The sequence below is a fragment of the Homo sapiens genome, chromosome 8 (assembly GCF_000001405.40).
Source record: "Homo sapiens chromosome 8, GRCh38.p14 Primary Assembly".
NCBI classification, from domain to species: domain Eukaryota; kingdom Metazoa; phylum Chordata; class Mammalia; order Primates; family Hominidae; genus Homo; species Homo sapiens.
The window spans coordinates 132,080,766-132,098,850 of record NC_000008.11 but is presented as its reverse complement, the minus strand read 5'-3'; the positions used below and the strand labels follow the sequence as shown (position 1 = coordinate 132,098,850).

The following is an 18,085-nucleotide window of genomic DNA, read 5'->3' as shown; positions in this document are numbered from 1 at the left end:
CATTTTTTTTTCTTGTACCAGTGTCTTTTCTGAACCTTTCTGTTGCCTTGACAAGACACTTCACTTCTGTGTGTCAGTTTCTCGGTGTTCAGAGTGGAGAATAGGCTGAGCTCAGTGTCTCACGCCTGTAATCCCAGCACTTTGGGAAGCTGCTTGAGCTCAGGAGTTTGAGACCAGCCTAGGCAACATGACAAAACCCCATCTTTACAAAAAATACAAAAATTAGCTGCGTGCAGTGGTGCATGCCTGTGGTCCCAGCTACTCGGGAGGCTGAGGTGGGAGGATTGCTGGAGCCCAGAAGGTCGAGGCTGTAGTGAGCTGTGGTAATGCCACTGCATTCCAGCCTGAGAGAAAGAGTGAGACTTTGCCTCAAAAAACAAAAACAAAAGCAGAATGCAGAATTCATTGTCCTACCTTACTCAAAATGACGTAGAAGGTTTACAAGAATTTTGAGAGCGAATTGCAATACAGACATGGTATGTTTGTAATTGTAACTCTGTTGCCATAAACTAACAATAATTACTCATTGATTAAGTTAATATGATTCTGGATTTCTTTTTTTAAGACAATATTATTGTAATCTTCTTTCTGTGTTCTTTAGCGTCTAGCAAAATGATTTGTATGTAACACATACTTAGTGAATGACAGCAAAGCCTGAATGATCCCTAGTGTACATTCCTCACTGCCTTCACTATTTATTCTCACATTCTTCAATCAATATTCATAGAACACCTATCACATGCCAGGCACTATTCCAAATATTGGAGGATAAGGCAGTAAATAAAAACCAAAAATCTTTGGCCTGGGAGAGCTTCCATTCTATTGGGTGAAGGAGTAACCAAAAACAAACAATAAACATAATAAATAGGTAATGGTACATGTTATTTAGAATAAGGGGGATGGAGAATGCCAATTCAGTGTTGAGGTCTATGTAAATGGCATTCCCTAGGATTGTGCAATACACACACTGCACAACTGTGCTTGGTGGCTCTACACTTGTTCACTTAGACATTGACCCATCAACATTATTATCCATCCCTGTCCCAATGCCTGTTGCTGTAAATTACAGAGATATAGCTCCTGCCTCCAATTTGCTCTCATGAGAGTTGCCGAGGATAGGGCTGCCTTGGGAGGTGCACGATAAGAAGGCAGTGATCTACCTGTAGAGGGTGCTGTGGAGAGACTGAATTATCAGATGGAGGGATGGGCTGCAAAACATTTAGCCCTTCCAGCCCTGAACTGTTAATCCTGTCCTTTCCTCTGCAAGGCCCTGCACTGGGCTCTGTGAAATTTTGCAGAAACTCAAATGTCATAACTTCGAGGAGCTCAAAACTCTTCCAATGACTAATTTAATCCTTGTATAACCTCCACGTGGTGGTACTCTCACTCCCATTTTCTAGATGCAGACGTTGAGGCGTGCCCATTGCCACATAGAGTTGGAATTCAGAACTGTTTAATCCAGGTTTGTGATCTAGCCCAAAGTTTCCCAAACTTGTTGCACAATAAGAAGGACCTGATGTACTTATTAAATATTCATCTCCCCAGGTTCCTGCTCTGGAGATTCTGATCCAGCTGATCTTTGAAGGGGCCCAAATGTATATTTTTACCAAGTGCTATTTGTGATTTTTATCATCAAAAAAACTGAGTACTGGAGTATTCACATTTTGGTGTATACCCCATTCTTCTAAGGAGCTTATTAAATACAGAGTCTGGTTCCCGCTCAGTGTATGGCATTGGGGTCTCCAGAGGGCAATAGCCAGAGAGCCGAGGGGGAATGGGCACCACTGGTGATTTGCGTGCACCAAAGTTTAATGATTCTGCCATTCCATCCACCATCACAGTGGGTAACAAATTTATATGAATAAAAATCACCTGAGACCGGGCACAGTGGGTCATGCCTATAATCCCAGCGCTTTGGGAGGCTGAGGTGGGAGGATTACTGGAGCCTGAGAGGTGGAGGCCGCAGTGAGCTGTGACTGCACGATTGCATTCCAGCCTGAGTGACAGAGCAAGACCCTGTCTAAAAAAGAAAAAAATTCACCTGAGAACTTTGTTAAAATTCAGAACCCTGGGCATACCCACCTTTCCCCTTTCTTCACCATCTGATTTAGTAGACCTGGGATCACATCCAGGAATGTGCCCTTTTAATAGGTGCACCTATTAAAGGTGTGTTGATGCAGGTGGGTGATTCTCAGACCAGGTCTGGAAAGATCTCCCTCTGCTGCACTGTGCTCCAGATATAAACTAAGAACAGGCACTGATGGAGAGTAGATAAGATGCTCATGCATGTATTCCTAAACCTGATTGTTTATGTTAGTATTCCTGGTTTAAAAAAAAATCCCCTTTCTTTGTGTAGTAGACTGAAAATGGCCAAAGATATCCACTTTGTAATTACCAGAATCTGTGAATACTACTTTATATGTCAAAAGAGTGAATATCACCTGATGTGATAACAGATTGATTGAGTTAAAGATTTTGAGATGAGGCCATTGTCCAGGATTATTTGTGTTGTGCCGGATGCCACCACAAGGGTCCTTACAAGAAAGAGGCAAAGGAGACACACACAGAAGAAAAGACCATGTGATGATAGAACAGAGAGAGATGTGGCCACAAGCCAAGGGACACAGGCAGCCGCCAGAGCTGAGAGAGGCAAGAACAGATTCTCCTTTAGAGCCCTTGAAGGGAGGGTGCCCTACTGAGTTTCAGACTTCTAGCCCCCAGAACTGTGAGAGAACAAATTTCTGCTGTTTTAGGCCACCAAGTTTGTGATAATTTGTTACAGCAGCCTCAGGGGCCTAATATGCCTTGGGAATCTTTCTTAGAGAGTTGCCACAGCTTGAGGATGGATCAGGAAATATAGACAAATGATACATACTCTTCAGCTTTTTGGTTTAGTTTTACTTTGTTTATTATTTTTTATTTGTATTACTTTTTTGTTTGTTTCTTTATTTTCATCATTGGTTTCTTTATTGGCATTGTTAATTTCTAGGGACTGTTTACTTATTTGTATTATTGTTACGTTAGTAGGCATCTGTCTGTCTCTTTATCTGGTATGTTTTGGCAGATAGCAAGAAGTTCTTCTCCTTGCTGAGTGTCACTTCCTACAGTTCCTTCGCCTTCCACAAGTTTTCTGTAGCTGTTTACAACAGTGAGTGCTGGCTGGCTCTTCTTGATGGTGGTGGTGGTAGGGATGTGTTGCAGGGCTGGTCTGTGTGTTAGGATCTCTGTTGAATCCTTTCTCTTCACAGTTTCTAACCTGAAGACAGTAGACCCCGCCAAATTCCCCACAAGGTATTGCTACTGTTTAAACAATCGGACCAATGACTTATCAGGTGGGTACAGCTTACCATGAGGCTTGCAGCTTTTCCAATTTTGCTTGTGTCCTTTTAGATAAGTTTTTGTTTTTCCTCAATGTAAGACAGGAAAATATGGTCCTATCCACTACCCTTAACCATGTGCTCATTCATTATCCCAGTGAAAAACAGTTGTGTGTGCAAAAGCAACAGGAGGAAAATGTTCATGAAGCATTGTTTTAATTGCAAAAGTGAGGAACAACCTAAATATCCATCATGAGGGAAAATGGTTAAGTAGTCTCCCACATAATTAAACTTTCAAAAACAGCCACAGATAATACATAAATGAGTGAGAGTGCTCAAATTTGGCCTGTGCATGGAAAAGCTTCCAAGAGATTTTTAATTAGAAAAAGAAAGTTACACAAAAATACAAAGAGCACAATGTTATTGATAAGAACACATATGTGGGCACCAGATAGGTGATTCCCTTTGAAAAGAAGATTGGAGTATGTGTTTTGGAGTGGAAGAATGTTGGTTAAAAGAGCCTTAGATTATCTGAACTTTTTTTTCCCAAGGAGAGTATGTTCATATGCTAGTTTTATAAATAAAACTTTAAAGTATTATGTGTTCCCTATTTTAGAGAATACTGAAAAATAAAAGTGACAATTTTTGCACCGTTAATTCACCCATTCAGTAATTCCATCTGAGCGTGCACTATGACCCATGCACTCTTCTAGGTGTGGGGAAAGCACACAGAGCAAAGTGAACACACCTCCTGCTCCCGTGGGACATAGATTCCTAGCGGGGAGCAGGGAGTAAATAAATGTACTGCAAGTACATGGTGTGTGGGCTGACAGCCTGACCATGGGAACCATGAAGCAGGGGAAAGCCGGAGGGAAAAGTCACAGTGGGGGATATTGCTGTGTGTAGGGTGGTCAGGAAAGTCTTCTCCAAATGAAGTGAGGGTTGAGGGGTGACCTTCAGGATGTGAGGGGCCAGCCCTGTGGTTGTTCCTGGGGACAGTGGTCCAGACAAAGGCCTAAGCAGCAGCATGAGGACCAGAGAAGCCAGCATAACTGGAGCAGGTTAGCCAGGACAGAGCTATAGGAAATTAGCTCTGATTGGTGAGGGCAAAGTGGGGAGGGTGTTGCAGATCATATAGAAGTTTAAGGTCTGCTGCGAGGATTCTAATTTTCACCCGGAATAAGAAGGAAGCCATTGTGATTGTCTGCACAGGGAAGGGACATGATCTGACATTTTAAAAGAATCCTTCTGGCTGCTTGTTAAATACGAGATTGTAAGGGAAGCAAGCACTAAAGGCAACCAAAGCCTCTTGTACTTTTCCCCACTTAGTCTAATATTAACCCTTCCACCATATTACAAACTCTTCTTAAACACTTGTAATGACTATGTAACCAGTGAATGCAAGCATTCTCTTAGCCACTATGCTGTTCTTAGACTTTTGAGTGGATCTAGGTTTTTCTTAATATAAATAATTTTGCCTTGGACATCTTTGTGCGTAAACTCTTCCCTGTTTCAGATTATTTCCCCCACTGAGTAGAATTTCTAAAACAAATATTGTGAAAATATTAAAGGAAAGAATTACTAATATATAATAAGTACTATATGCGAGATGCTACAATGAGTGCTTAATGTCTATTATCTTATGTAATTTACCCTGTGAATCTCTTCAACAAATACATTTGTGAGGAAAAAAATTCTTCATAATCATGCCTTTCTCACCATTTCATTAACCCCTGCTGAGGATAGAAGTCTGTGCTGGGTGAGTCCCTATCCTGATTGTGTGAAAGATAAAAATAAGATTTAAAAAGTTAAATCTGCCTGGAGAAAGTTTATAATTTTATTTCATGAGTCAAATCATATTTTCACACACTTGCAACAATTATATGAAAAGAATGATCCATGGATCATTATCTACTGATAAAATTGCCTGGTGTTCCTCTGGTAGGTCATAGCAACTTTTGCCAGGTTTGACAAGAAGTCACAGCGCTACCATGAGAGGCTGTACACGTAGGCCAACAACTTGCCGTTGCTCAACACCTTCGGGGAAGGTGACTTTGTGGATGATCTTTAGATCTGGATCATTTTCTTTTTAATGTTTTCAACTCTGATCTAAAGCCCTCCTTTGAGGGTATATTTGCATATTTTCCCTTTTTTTTCTTCCTAAATGAAACTGGCTTAAGTTTTCTTAATTTTAAAAATAATGTACTGTGATATCAAGATGCTATGCAACATGGACAGGAAAACTAAGAAACCAGAAATAGCTGATATCCCACCATCCACTGGTAGTCACTATTAACATGCTAATAAATGCTATCCAAGGCTGTCTACACTACCTATATAACCCACTTATCTATCCAACCTGTCATCTAAGCTACTTATCTAACCTACCTATCTACCTATGTACCCCAGCTAATATCTACCCATCAGTGTAGACATCCTGCTCTACATATAGGAACCCATTCTCTGCATTATTTAGAATACAGGGTGGGCTACTATAACAAATGACTCCAAAATAGCCTAGTTTAAAGAAGGTAGAAGTTAATTGCTTTCATGTCTGATAGTCTGGGCATGTAGACATGCCAGGGCTGCTCTAATGGTTTGATGGTTTTGGGGCCCAGGCTCCTTCTAGCTTGTTGCTTTGCCTTTCATAATGATCTGTGTTCTCATAGCCTAAGGTAGGTTGCCAGCACATTCACACTCCAGCTACAATGAAGAGGAGAAAGGATTTGGAAAGTGTATTAGTCCATTCTCACATTGCTATAAAGAAATACCTGAAACTGGGTAATTTATAAAGAGAAGAGGTCTAATCAGCTCATGGTTCTGCAGGCTGTACAGGAAGCATGAGTGCTTCTGCTCAGCTTCTGGGGAGACCTCAGGAAACTTACAATCATGGCAGAGGGGAAGTAGAAGCAGGCAGATCTTACATGACTAGAGCAGGAGCAAGGGAGAACAAGGGGAAAGGTGTTTTAAACAAGCAGATCTCACAATAACTCACTCACTATCATGAGAACAGCACCAAGGACGTGGTGCTAACCCATTCATGAGAAGTCTGCCCCCATGATCCAATCACCTCCCACCACGCCTCACCTCCAGCATTGTGGATTGCAATTTGACATGAGATTTGGGCAAGGACACAGATCCAAACCATCCCAGAAGGCATGCACATTCACTATGAACTCACAGCCTGGAAACCATTCACATTTCTCCCTCTTACATCCTATTTCCCAGAATTTAATCTCATGGCTACACTCACCCACAAAGCAAGCTTGAAATTATAGTCGTTGCTTTAAACCATCACGTTCCCAATTAAAATTTGATACTGTCTTACTAAAGGAAGGTGGGAGAATCGATATTGAAAGACAACCATCAGTATCTTTCATTTTTTATGCAATTTTATAATCTACTCTCAAACTAACCCATATGTCTTAAAAAAACCATTTCATTCCAGTGAATGCAAGTATGCCTCATCCTTCACATGAATTCTTAGTATTCATTGAAAGAATGTACCATGATTTATTTAATTTGTCTCCTCTTGTTGGAAACTTGGCTAATTCCTCATATTTTTGCAATTATAAACAATGCTGTGATGAACACCTGTGTAAAATCACTTAGAGTACTTGCCCAATTACCTCTGCAGAATAAAGCCCGCAAAATAGAATTGTTGGCTGACAGGGAAACAATATTATAATGATTTGAATTGCCAAAATGTCTTCTAAAAGTCTTGCATACGTTTACAGTCTTACCAACAATGTTTGAATGCCTATGTTTTCCCACTCACATGTGCCAACACTGAGTGTTAAGAGACAGTCTTAAATCATTACCAAATGGATAGGTAAAAAGGGTTTTGTACTTCTACCTTCTATTTATGTATGAAGGTAGTCATGAATCATTCATTTTGATCATTGCTAGTAAATTAGATAATTCAAACTTTCATAAATGCAAAGAATATCTTTGAGTTAATAATAACTGGCTTTCTTCCAAGCCTAAAAAGCAGATTGTGAAAACAGTTCTAAAGGGAGAATTGACAAAATGCATTGAGCAAGAGGTTTCATGAGTGGTGGTAAGAATACCGGGAATAGTGGAAGCTTTGGCCCAAGACAGACCTCAGCTGAAATCTAAGCTCTGCCACGTACTCTGGAACTTTGGACAAGTTACATCATCTTTCTGAGCCTTGGGCAAAACCTGGACTCCATGTTTTGTGTGTGGCTTCAAAGCCATGCTCATAGCTTCTATGCAAAATTGATAACAACTTCCAAGTTGCATTTTATTGGTCTGTTTATGAATCTTGCTTCACCACTAACCTCAGCTTCTTCTTTATGTCTTACACAACTCTCCAGTACCTGGTAAGTGTATGGCACACTGCAAATGCTCGATGAATATTTATTAGATAAATGGATTAATAAACAAAGGAGAATTTTTAGAAGCAGAAAGAAAATATATGGAATAACTAAGAGATAATACCCTTCCTCAGTTTCCACAAATGACTAAGAACAGACTGGTCTAAAGAGACAGAGAAGGAGGCCGAGGCGGGTGGAGCACAAGGTCAGGAGATCGAGACCATCCTGGCTAACACGGTGAAACCCTGTCTCTACTAAAAATACAAAAAAATTAGCTGGGCGTGTTGGCGGGCGCCTGTAGTCCCAGATACTTGGGAGGCTGAGGTAGGAGAATGGCGTGAACCTGGGAGGCGGAACTTGCAGTGAGCCGAGATTGCGCCACTGCACGCCAGCCTGGGCCACAGAGCGAGACTCCATCTCAAAAAAAAAAAAAAAAAAAAAGAGAGAGAAAGAGGGTGCCCATGTTTGCCTACCTTCTGCATATACAGGTGTCTATACCTGCATAGGTATACTACATACTGCATAGGTGTTCTCCCTCCAGGAGGTTAAAATGTGCCTGTGCGGATATAGTAAGACCACCTCATGGCTTTGGTTCTTGCATAGTAGTGCCCATCATCTGTTGGTCTTGGCTACACATTCCACTAATTGTCACATAACATTTTCCTACCTCTCTTGGTTCTGTATTTTCAAGTTAGCTTGCTCCTGCACAAACTCCTGATCCCATTAATGAGTGAAAGGAGCATTTACACAGCATGATGGGAAATCATCCACTGGACCCAAGAAGCTTCCTCTTTAGAAAATGACTGGGGCTCCTCAAACACATTCGCCTTGTTTAGAAGTCAAGAATTTGCTGGATCGTGGAAAGCCATAAATGAACAAAGAAGGAGATGACAGCTGTTTGACTAGAAGAATATTAGGAATTTTCACAGTCAATAGTGCCCACCATGTCAGGCAATGGCCCTGTTCAAACCCAGCTGAGAAAGAAAGTTCACAATGATTCTATAACCTGAAATGCTGAAAAAGTTATCTCAGACACCACTCCCCACCAGCACCACCATCAGTTCCTTTAAAAAGGGGGCAGAAGGAAAGGTTCCTGGTGATAATTTTAGAAAGTGTCTTGTCTTGTCTCTATTGTTCATAGTTTATAACTCACCACTAAATTCCACATTGCATTTTCATTTTCCAACCCCCAAGTCTGTAAATTTACATTACATATCTGTGGGGCTGCTTCCTATCAGATGGAGTTGGCATTCTAAAAACAATTAGACGAAACAATGGGGAAAAGCCGCCAGAAAGACCATTATTCAACAATGTGGCCCTTCATAGCTCTTAGATGTTAGCAGAGAAGGGGTTGGGAGAGAGGATGATAGAAGAAGAAAGGGGATTTTAACAGTGGATCCAAAGTTTCCTTCCGGCCTGAAATCAAGACTTTTCATTTTTTAGAATTAGTAGTATTTCTCTGTATCATTGTTGATATTCCTCAATACACTAAACTAAATCAAACTTGTAAAATTTACTCTGAAAAATCCAAACACAGTATACTTTTCTCCTTTTGTCTCTGAAGCAGAAATTTAAACCTCCTAAATTTGTCTTGCAGATTTTACAGCTCTACTGGTAGATATCATCGGCAATTCTACCAGCTACCTCACAGAGATTTTTAAGTCAACCTCCATCCTCTCAGGTGTGTTCATCTTGAAAACGCTTTGGCAACTTTGAGGTTTAGCATCTGTTGTGGTAGATAATGAAGCATATTATGTTCCTCACCCCAACCCCTGCTATAGGCCAGGCTGCCAGAAACGTTCATGTAATCTTTATTTAGATAATCAGTGTGGTCCAGTTTCCACACCAGTAAATGCACCAATATTTAAGTCTTCATATTTCTGGGATCCACAAAGTTGGAGGAAGAATCCAAAGCTCAAAAGTTTAAGGAACGTAGGCAGACTCAAGAAAACATCTGGTGAGTAGATATACCCCCATTTTAAGGAGGACAAAACTGAGATCCAGAGAGGTTGAATATTTTGCTTAAGTTTGGTGCCAGAATTCAGGTTTAAATCTATATGGAGCCTAAGCCCATGTTTGGAGTACAGTTAAGAATGATACACCTCATTTATAAGGTGGTTTCATGTAACCCCCAGGAAAATCACATTTCCTTAGGGACCCACTTTGAAAAGCAAGGATCTATTCAACAGTCCAACAACTGGTCTCAGCAGAAAGACGGTGTGATGCACTGTGGAGCAGCTACTGTTTTAAAAGCAGGAGGGAGGGAGAAAGAGAAATAGTAACAGCTATCATTAGGTGTCAGATAATCTTGTAAGGGCTTTCCATGTATTCTCTCATTGGATCCTCACTACAACCTTTTGGGGCAGCTACTATATTTATCCCTACTTGACAGGTGAGGAAACTGTCACAGAGGGGTTAAGTAAATTGCTCAAAATCACTCTGCAGAAGCAGAATTCTAAACCAGGTGATCTGGCTCTTAGCCTGTGCTCTTATGTCACTATCCTAATATATATAATCATAGTAATACATTAATAATAACAATAATGATTACTCTGGCTACTGTGCTCTTCTATCTGCTGGGCACCATACCTAGTGCATCACTCCCATTATCTCCTTGGATTTTCCTGTTATCCTATGAGAGACATGCAACCCCATGTCCACAGTTCTTTAGGCAGCATCGTCAGGGAAAAGTATGTTTAGGAATTCAGAAGTTTTCAGGCTTTGAAGATCTAATAAAGTGTGCACATCCTACCTGATGTAACTTCTCCAACAGCATCCAGAGAAGCCCAGTGTAATCAAACACGTTAGTAGTAATTTGGTAAAACGTTCAGCTCTTTACACTAAGTAGGATAGATAAAAACTATCATAGCTTCACATTTTTCAAATTTGGGTACCAAGCTCACACAAAACATGTTGTCTTACAGAGATGTGGGCATTTGGGAATTACAAATGAGGGATTGTGGGATTTGAATTTTCACCATTTTATAAAGGGGCAAACTGAGTCCTGAAGAGGTCAAGCAATTCATTCATGTTTGCATAGCTAGTAAGTGGCAGAGCTGATGTAACCCTAGAAGCTGACCTCAGAGACTCTGCCTTAGCCACTACACCATCCCCCAAACCCAGCCAAATAAAATAAAGAAATTGGAAAATGAGGACTGCCTTAAGAGTAAAGAGTCAGGCTTATTTTCCTATATTATCCTAAGTTAGGTACTTTCAACTTAATTTTCATTTCAATCAAAGACTTACAGCTTCAGACCCATGGCTAAGTCTTATTGTATACTCGTTTGTCTTACAGTGAATCAAAGCAATGAATCAGATTGCATCTTCATCTGTGTGATGACAGGAAAGTCAGGTAAACCACTAGACATTCTTTGACAAGCTCTCTGGGCTGAGAAATAGACAAAACTGTCCAGCAGATGAAACCCAAGATCTGACCCTGTTGGTGTGATTTTTGCAGGAAGGAATCTTTCTGACTTCTGGGAGATAGAAGAAAAATATCCCATTATCAATTACACATTTACCAGCGGCTTGTCTGGTGTTCTGGGTGAGTACCAACCTCCCAAACTCCTCCCATAGACTCTCCAGACCAGGGTCCCACCTGGCACACTAATGACTGAAAGCTGCCCTCAGGTGTTGTGTTTCGCTATACTGTATTAAAAATCAGAGAACTTCGTCATTTTAAAAAAATGAATTTCTGGATTCTCTTGCAAAAGGTCTGGCAATTCTAGATCTTCCCCCCAACACATGGCAATAAGCAACTGGAGCTGAGTAACTGCCACTCTCATTCCCCCACTAGGAAGGGCACCTTTTCCTTCTTTTCCATAGTCCTGTCTGCCCCCTGTTGCCTTCCACTTTTTTCTCATATTAACTACTTGGGTTTTGTAGATATTTGAATTTGTGACCCCATGCTGGAGACCTGGCCACTCTGTAATACCCAGTCCCTACCTAACCATGCCCCACCCTCATGCCCCTCTGTGCCACATTGGGCATGCTGTTGTCTCCATCTGGAACTCCTTCCCTACTTTTCCATATTTCAGAACCCTATTTGCCTGTCAATTGCCAGCTTAGACACTACCTCCTCTTTTTTAAATATCCCCCAATAAAAGTCAGTCTTTGTCTTCTACGGTCCCATAACACAGCACTTGTATGTCATTTGGACTCTACGTTACTCCAGGTTGCAACACAGTTGACATTTCTATGTGTGTCTCCTCAATGAAAGGAACTTTAAGGTAGAATAAGTAGTTTCCTTCAGCCTCACAGCCTGCCTTCCCCTTGGTGCCTTGCACATAGTGGGCTCTTCATTACTTTCTCTTGAAGTGCAATGAAGGATACAATAAATCTGCAACTCCACTTCAGGGGCTACTTTGCTTTATATTTATTGTAGGGCATCTTTTGATTATGCTATGGAAGGAACCTCAGTTTGTATGGGACAAGACTACTTGATAAGAAGATGAAATGGGCAGTTGGTAGATTACCTTCACCTGCCCGATTCTCAGGACAGATCTTAGGGTTGAGTCAATCTCATTTATTTGGAGAGTCTTTCCATGACATTCCCACCACACCCCCCTCAACACACACACACGCCAGTCTCAATTAATTGTCCCACTTTGTGCTCCTTCAACAAGAACAAATGCTTAGGAAGAGAGAACATATTTACAAGCTGATGCTAAAGTTGATGTGCCTGAAAGCAAGTACCTGGCTGAGTGATAGTTTGGCTGGATGTACTTAGCCCCATGTCTGGTTGATCTGGGAGCAAGGCTCAGGCTGGTGTTGCACGCAGGGTGTTAATGGGCCAAGTAGCACAGAGAGAGGAAATGAGGCTGCAAGGCCACTCCTGCAATTAGACAGTTCACATTCTACATGCATTCTGGGGGAGGTGAGGGCCAAAATCCAACACAGGCTCTGCCCACCAGACTATAGGCCAGTCTTTGTCTTCCCAACGGGACTCTATGGGCTAATAGGAGCCTGTCATCGTCATATCCACTGCTGCCACCTCTTGAGCCTTCCCTAGGGAAGATATAAAGTGAAACTAATATCTGAGCCCACTTCCTTCTTTTCTTCATGGAGCAACCAAGGATGCTGGGTAGATTTCCCTCTGAATTAAGCCCTCCTGCTAACTCTATGGGAGCCTGTTTTTCAAGCTGTTTCTGTCTGGGAGCTTCTTATTCCCCCAAATTTCACTTTTGGTTTTTAGTGTCAGGCCTCTGAGCCCAAGCCAAGCCATCGCAACCCCTGTGACTTGCACCTATACGCCCAGATGGCCTGAAGTAACTGAAGAATCACAAAAGAAGTGAATATGCCCTGCCCCACCTTAACTGATGACATTCCACCACAAAAGAAGTGTAAATGGCCGGTCCTTGCCTTAACTGATGACATTACCTTGTGAAAGTCCTCTTCCTGGCTCATCCTGGCTCAAAAAGCACCCCCACTGAGCACCTTGAGACCCCCACTCCTGCCCGCCAGAGAACAAACCCCCTTTGACTGTAATTTTCCTTTACCTACCCAAATCCTATAAAACGGCCCCACCCTTATCTCCCTTCACTGACTCTCTTTTCGGACTCAGCCCGCCTGCACCCAGGTGAAATAAACAGCTTTATTGCTCACACAAAGCCTGTTTGGTGGTCTCTTCACACGGACGCGCATGAAATTTGGTGCCGTCACTCGGATCGGGGGACCTCCCTTGGGAAATCAATCCCCGTCCTCCTGTTCTTTGCTCCATGAGAAAGATCCACCTACGACCTCAGGTCCTCAGACAGACCAGCCCAAGAAACATCTCACCAATTTCAAATCCGGTAAGCGGCCTCTTTTTACTCTCATCTCCAACCTCCCTCACTATCCCTCAACCTCTTTCTCCTTTCAATCTTGGCACCACACTTCAATCTCTCCCTTCTCTTAATTTCAATTCCTTTCATTTTCTGGTAGAGGCAAAGGAGATATGTTTTATCCGTGAACCCAAAACTCCAGCGCCGGTCACGGACTGGGAAGGCAGCCTTCCCTTGGTGTTTAATCATTGCAGGGATGCCTCTCTGATTATACACTCACGTTTCAAGGGTGTCAGACCACGCAGGGATGCCTGCCTTGGTCCTTCACCCTTAGCGGCAAGTCCCACTTTTCTGGGGAAGGGGCAAGTACTCCAACCCCTTCTCTCCTTGTCTCTACCCCTTCTCTGCTTTCCTGGGGCAGGGGCAAATACCCCTCAACCCCTTCTCCTTCACCCTTAGCGGCACATCCCACTTTCCTGGGGCAGGGGCAAGTACCCCTCAACCCCTTCTCCTTCACCCTTAGCGGCAAGTCCTGCTTTCCTAGGCGGCAAGAACCCCCCAATCGCTTATTTCCACACCCCAACCTCTTATCTCTGTGCCCCAATCCCTTATTTCTGTGCCCCAACCCCTTCTCTACTTTTCTGGAGGGCAAGAACCACCACCCCCACCCCTTCTCTGTGTCTCAAGTCTTTTCTCTAGGCTTGCCTCCTTCACTATGGGTAAGCTTCCACCTTCCATTCCTCCTTCTTATCCCTTAGCCTGTGTTCTCAAAAATTTAAAACCTCTTCAACTCACACCTGACCTAAAACCTAAATGCCTTATTTTCTTCTGCAATGCCGCTTGACCCCAGTACAAACTCGACAGTAGTTCCAAATAGCCAGAAAATGGCACTTTGAATTTCTCCATCCTGCAAAATCTAAATAATTCTTGTCGTAAAATAGGCAAACTGTCTGAGGTGCCTGACGTCCAGGCATTCTTTTACACACTCAGTCCTTCCTAGTCCCTGTGCCCAGTGCAACTCGTCCCAAATCTTCCTTCTTTCCCTCCAGCCTGTCCCCTCAGTACCAACCCCAAGCGTCGCTGAGTCTTTCTAATCTTCCTTTTCTACAGACCCATCTGACCTCTCCCTTCCTCCCCAGGCTGCTCCTCGCCAGGCCGAGCTAGGTCCCAATTCTCCCTCAGCCTCCGCTCCTCCACCCTATAATCTTTTTATCACCTCCCCTCCTCACACCTGGTCCGGCTTACAGTTTCGTTCCCTGACTAGCCCTCCCCCACCTGCCCAGCAATTTACTCTTAAAAAGGTGGCTGGAGCCAAAGGCATAGTCAAGGTTAATGCTCCTTTTTCTTTATCCCAAATCAGATAGCATTTAGGCTCTTTTTCATCAAATATAAAAATCCAGCCCAGTTCATGACTTGTTTGGCAGCAACCCTGAGACACTTTATAGCCCTAGACCCTAAAAGGTCAAAAGGCCGTCTTATTCTCAAAATACATTTTATCACCCAATCTGCTCCCGACATTAAATAAAACTCCAAAAATTAAATTCCGGCCCTCAAACCCCACAACAGGATTTAATTAACCTTGCCTTCAAGGTGTACAATAATAGAAAAAAGTTGCAATTCCTTGCCTCCACTGTGAGACAAACCCCAGCCACATCTCCAGCACACAAGAACTTCCAAACGCCCGAACCGCAGCGGCCAGGCGTTCCTCCAGAACCTCCTCCCACAGGAGCTTGCTACATGTGCTGGAAATCTGGCCACTGGGCCAAGGAATGCCCGCAGCCTGGGATTCCTCCTAAGCCGCGTCCCATCTGTGTGGGACCCCACTGAAAATCGGACTGTTCAACTCACCTGGCAGCCACTCCCAGAGCCCTTGGAACGCTGGCCCAAGGCTCTCTGACTGACTCCTTCCCAGATCTTCTTGGCTTAGCGGCTGAAGACTGACACTGCCCGATTGCCTCGGAAGCCCCCTAGACCATCACGGACGCCAAGCTTCGGGTAACTCTCACAGTGGAAGGTAAGCCCGTCCCCTTCTTAATCAATACGGAGGCTACCCACTCCACATTACCTTCTTTTCAAGGGCCTGTTTCCCTTGCCTCCATAACTGTTGTGGGTATTGACGGCCAGGCTTCTAAACCTCTTAAAACTCCCCAACTCTGGTGCCAACTTAGACAATACTCTTTTAAGCACTCCTTTTTAGTTATCCCCACCTGTGCATTTCCCTTATTAGGCTGAGATACTTTAACTAAATTATCTGCTTCCCTGACTATTCCTGGACTACAGCTATATCTCATTGCCACCCTTCTTCCCAATCCAAAGCCTCCTTTGCGTCCTCCTCTTGTATCCCCCCCACCTTAACCCACAAGTATAAGATACCTCTACTCCCTCCTTGGCGACCAATCATGCACCCCTTACCATCTCATTAAAACCTAATCACCCTTACCCCACTCAATGCCAATATCCCATCCCACAGCACGCTTTAAAAAGATTAAAGCCTGTTATCACTCACCTGCTACAGCATGGCCTTTTAAACCCTATAAACTCTCCTTACAATTCCCTCATTTTACCTGTCCTAAAACCAGACAAGCCTTACAAGTTAGTTCAGGATCTGCACCTTATCAACGAAATTGTTTTGCCTGTCCACCCTGTGGTGCCCAACCCGTACCCTCTTTTGTCCTCAATACCTTCCTCCACAACTCACTATTCCGTGCTTGATCTTAAAGATGCTTTTTTCACTATTCCCCTGCACCCCTCGTCCCAGCCTCTCTTTGCTTTCACTTAGACTGACTCTGACACCCATTAGGCTCAGCAAATTACCAAGGCTGTACTGCTGCAAAGCTTCACAGACAGCCCCCATTACTTCAATCAAGCCCAAATTTCTTCCTCATCTGTTACCTATCTCGGCATAATTCTCATAAAAACACACGTGCTCTCCCTGCCAATCATGTCCGACTGATCTCTCAAACCCCAGCATCTTCTACAAAACAACAACTCCTTTCTTTCCTAGGCATGGTTAGTGTGGTCAGAATTCTTACACAAGAGCCAGGACCACACCCTGTAGCCTTTCTGTCCAAACAACTTGACCTTACTGTTTTAGCCTAGCCCTCATGTCTGCGTGCAGCGGCTGCTGCTGCTTTAATGCTTTTAGAGGCCCTCAAAATCACAAACTATGCTCAACTCACTCTCTACAGTTCTCATAACTTCCAAAATCTATTTTCTTCCTCATAGCTGATGCATATACTTTCTGCTTCCTGGCTCCTTCAGCTATACTCACTCTTTGTTGAGTCTCCCACAATTACCATTGTTCCTGGCCTGGACTTCAGTCCGGCCTCCCACATTATTCCTGATACCACACCTGGCCCCCATTACTGTATCTCTCTGATCCACCTGACATTCACCCCATTTCCCCAAATTTCCTTCTTTCCTGTTCCTCACCCTGATCACGCTTGATTTATTGATGGCAGTTCCACCAGGCCTAATCGCCACACACCAGCAAAGGCAGGTTATACTATAGTACAAGCCACTAGCCCACCTCTTAGAACCTCTCATTTCCTTTCCATCGTGGAAATCTATCCTCAAGGAAATAACTTCTCAGTGTCCCATCTGCTATTCTACTACTCCTCAGGGATTATTCAGGCCCCCTCCCTTCCGTACACATGAAGCTCGAGGATTTGCGCCACCCAGGACTGGCAAATTAGCTTTACTCAACATGCCCTGAGTCAGATAACTAAAATACCTCTTAGTCTAGGTAGACACTTTCACTGGATAGGTAGAAGCCTTTCCTACAGGGTCTGAGAAGGCCACCGCAGTCATTTCTTCTGTTCTGTCAGACATAATTCCTCAGTTAAGCCTTCCCACCTCAATACAGTCTGATAACAGATGAGCCTTTATTAGTCAAATCAGCCAAGCAGTTTTTCAGGCTCTTAGTATTCAGTGAAAGCTTTATATCCCTTACGGTCCTCCGTCTTCAAGAAAAGTAGAATGGACTAAAGGTCTTTTAAAAACACACCTCACCAAGCTCAGCCACCAACTTAAAAAGGACTGGACAATACTTTTACCACTTTCCCTTCTCAGAATTCAGGCCTGTCCTCGGAATGCTACAGGGTACAGCCCATTTAGGCTCCTGTATAGATGCTTCTCATTCCAGACACCAGACCAACTTAGACTGTGCCCCAAAAAACTTGTCATCCCTACTATCTTCTGTCTAGTCATACACCTATTCACCGTTCTCAACTACTCATACATGCCCTGCTCTTGTTTACACTGCCGGTTTACACTGTTTTTTTGCAAGCCATCACAGCTGATATCTACTGGTGCTATCCCCAAACTGCCACTCTTAACTCTTGAAGTAAATAAATAATCTTTGCTGGCAGGACTATGCTGAATCTCCTTAGGCACTCTCTAATTAGATGTCCTAGGTCCTCCCAATTCTTAGTCCTTTTATACCTGTTTTTCTCCTTCTCTTATTCCATTTAGTTTTTCAATTCATACAAAACTGTATCCAGGCCATCACCTATCATTCTATACAACAAATGTTTCTTCTAACATCCCCACAATATCACCCCTTACCACAAGACCTCCCTTCAGCTTAATCTCTCCCACTCTAGGTTCCCACGCTGCCCCTAATCCCGCTTGAAGCAGCCCTGAGAAACATCGCCCATTCTCTCTCCAT

The 18,085-nt window shown here is 43.2% G+C and overlaps 1 protein-coding gene across 1 annotated transcript in view, besides 3 other annotated features; it reads left to right on the top strand.

The window, feature by feature from the left end:
• HHLA1 (HHLA1 neighbor of OC90) overlaps positions 1-18,085 on the top strand; it is a 49,678-nt gene that overhangs the window by 12,307 nt on the left and 19,286 nt on the right. The window contains exons 6-10 of the mRNA NM_001145095.3: positions 3,065-3,148; positions 3,249-3,332; positions 9,252-9,335; positions 10,950-11,006; positions 11,112-11,198. Coding sequence (NP_001138567.1) covers positions 3,065-3,148; positions 3,249-3,332; positions 9,252-9,335; positions 10,950-11,006; positions 11,112-11,198 — 396 coding nt within the window. The remainder of the gene's footprint in view (positions 1-3,064; positions 3,149-3,248; positions 3,333-9,251; positions 9,336-10,949; positions 11,007-11,111; positions 11,199-18,085) is intronic.
• Positions 12,415-12,709: an enhancer, noted in NCBI's record as "tiled region #9765; K562 Activating non-DNase unmatched - State 21:Repr". NCBI's record gives its function as "activates a minimal TATA promoter and a strong SV40 promoter by Sharpr-MPRA in K562 cells {active_cell/tissue: K562}" and the evidence as "EXISTENCE:reporter gene assay evidence [ECO:0000049][PMID:27701403]".
• Positions 12,415-13,199: a biological region, named in NCBI's record as "Sharpr-MPRA regulatory region 9765".
• Positions 12,622-13,199: an enhancer, noted in NCBI's record as "OCT4-NANOG-H3K27ac hESC enhancer chr8:133097899-133098476 (GRCh37/hg19 assembly coordinates)". NCBI's record gives its function as "activates a minimal SCP1, AML or CMV promoter by ChIP-STARR-seq in naive H9 embryonic stem cells {active_cell/tissue: H9 hESC(naive)}" and the evidence as "EXISTENCE:reporter gene assay evidence [ECO:0000049][PMID:30033119]".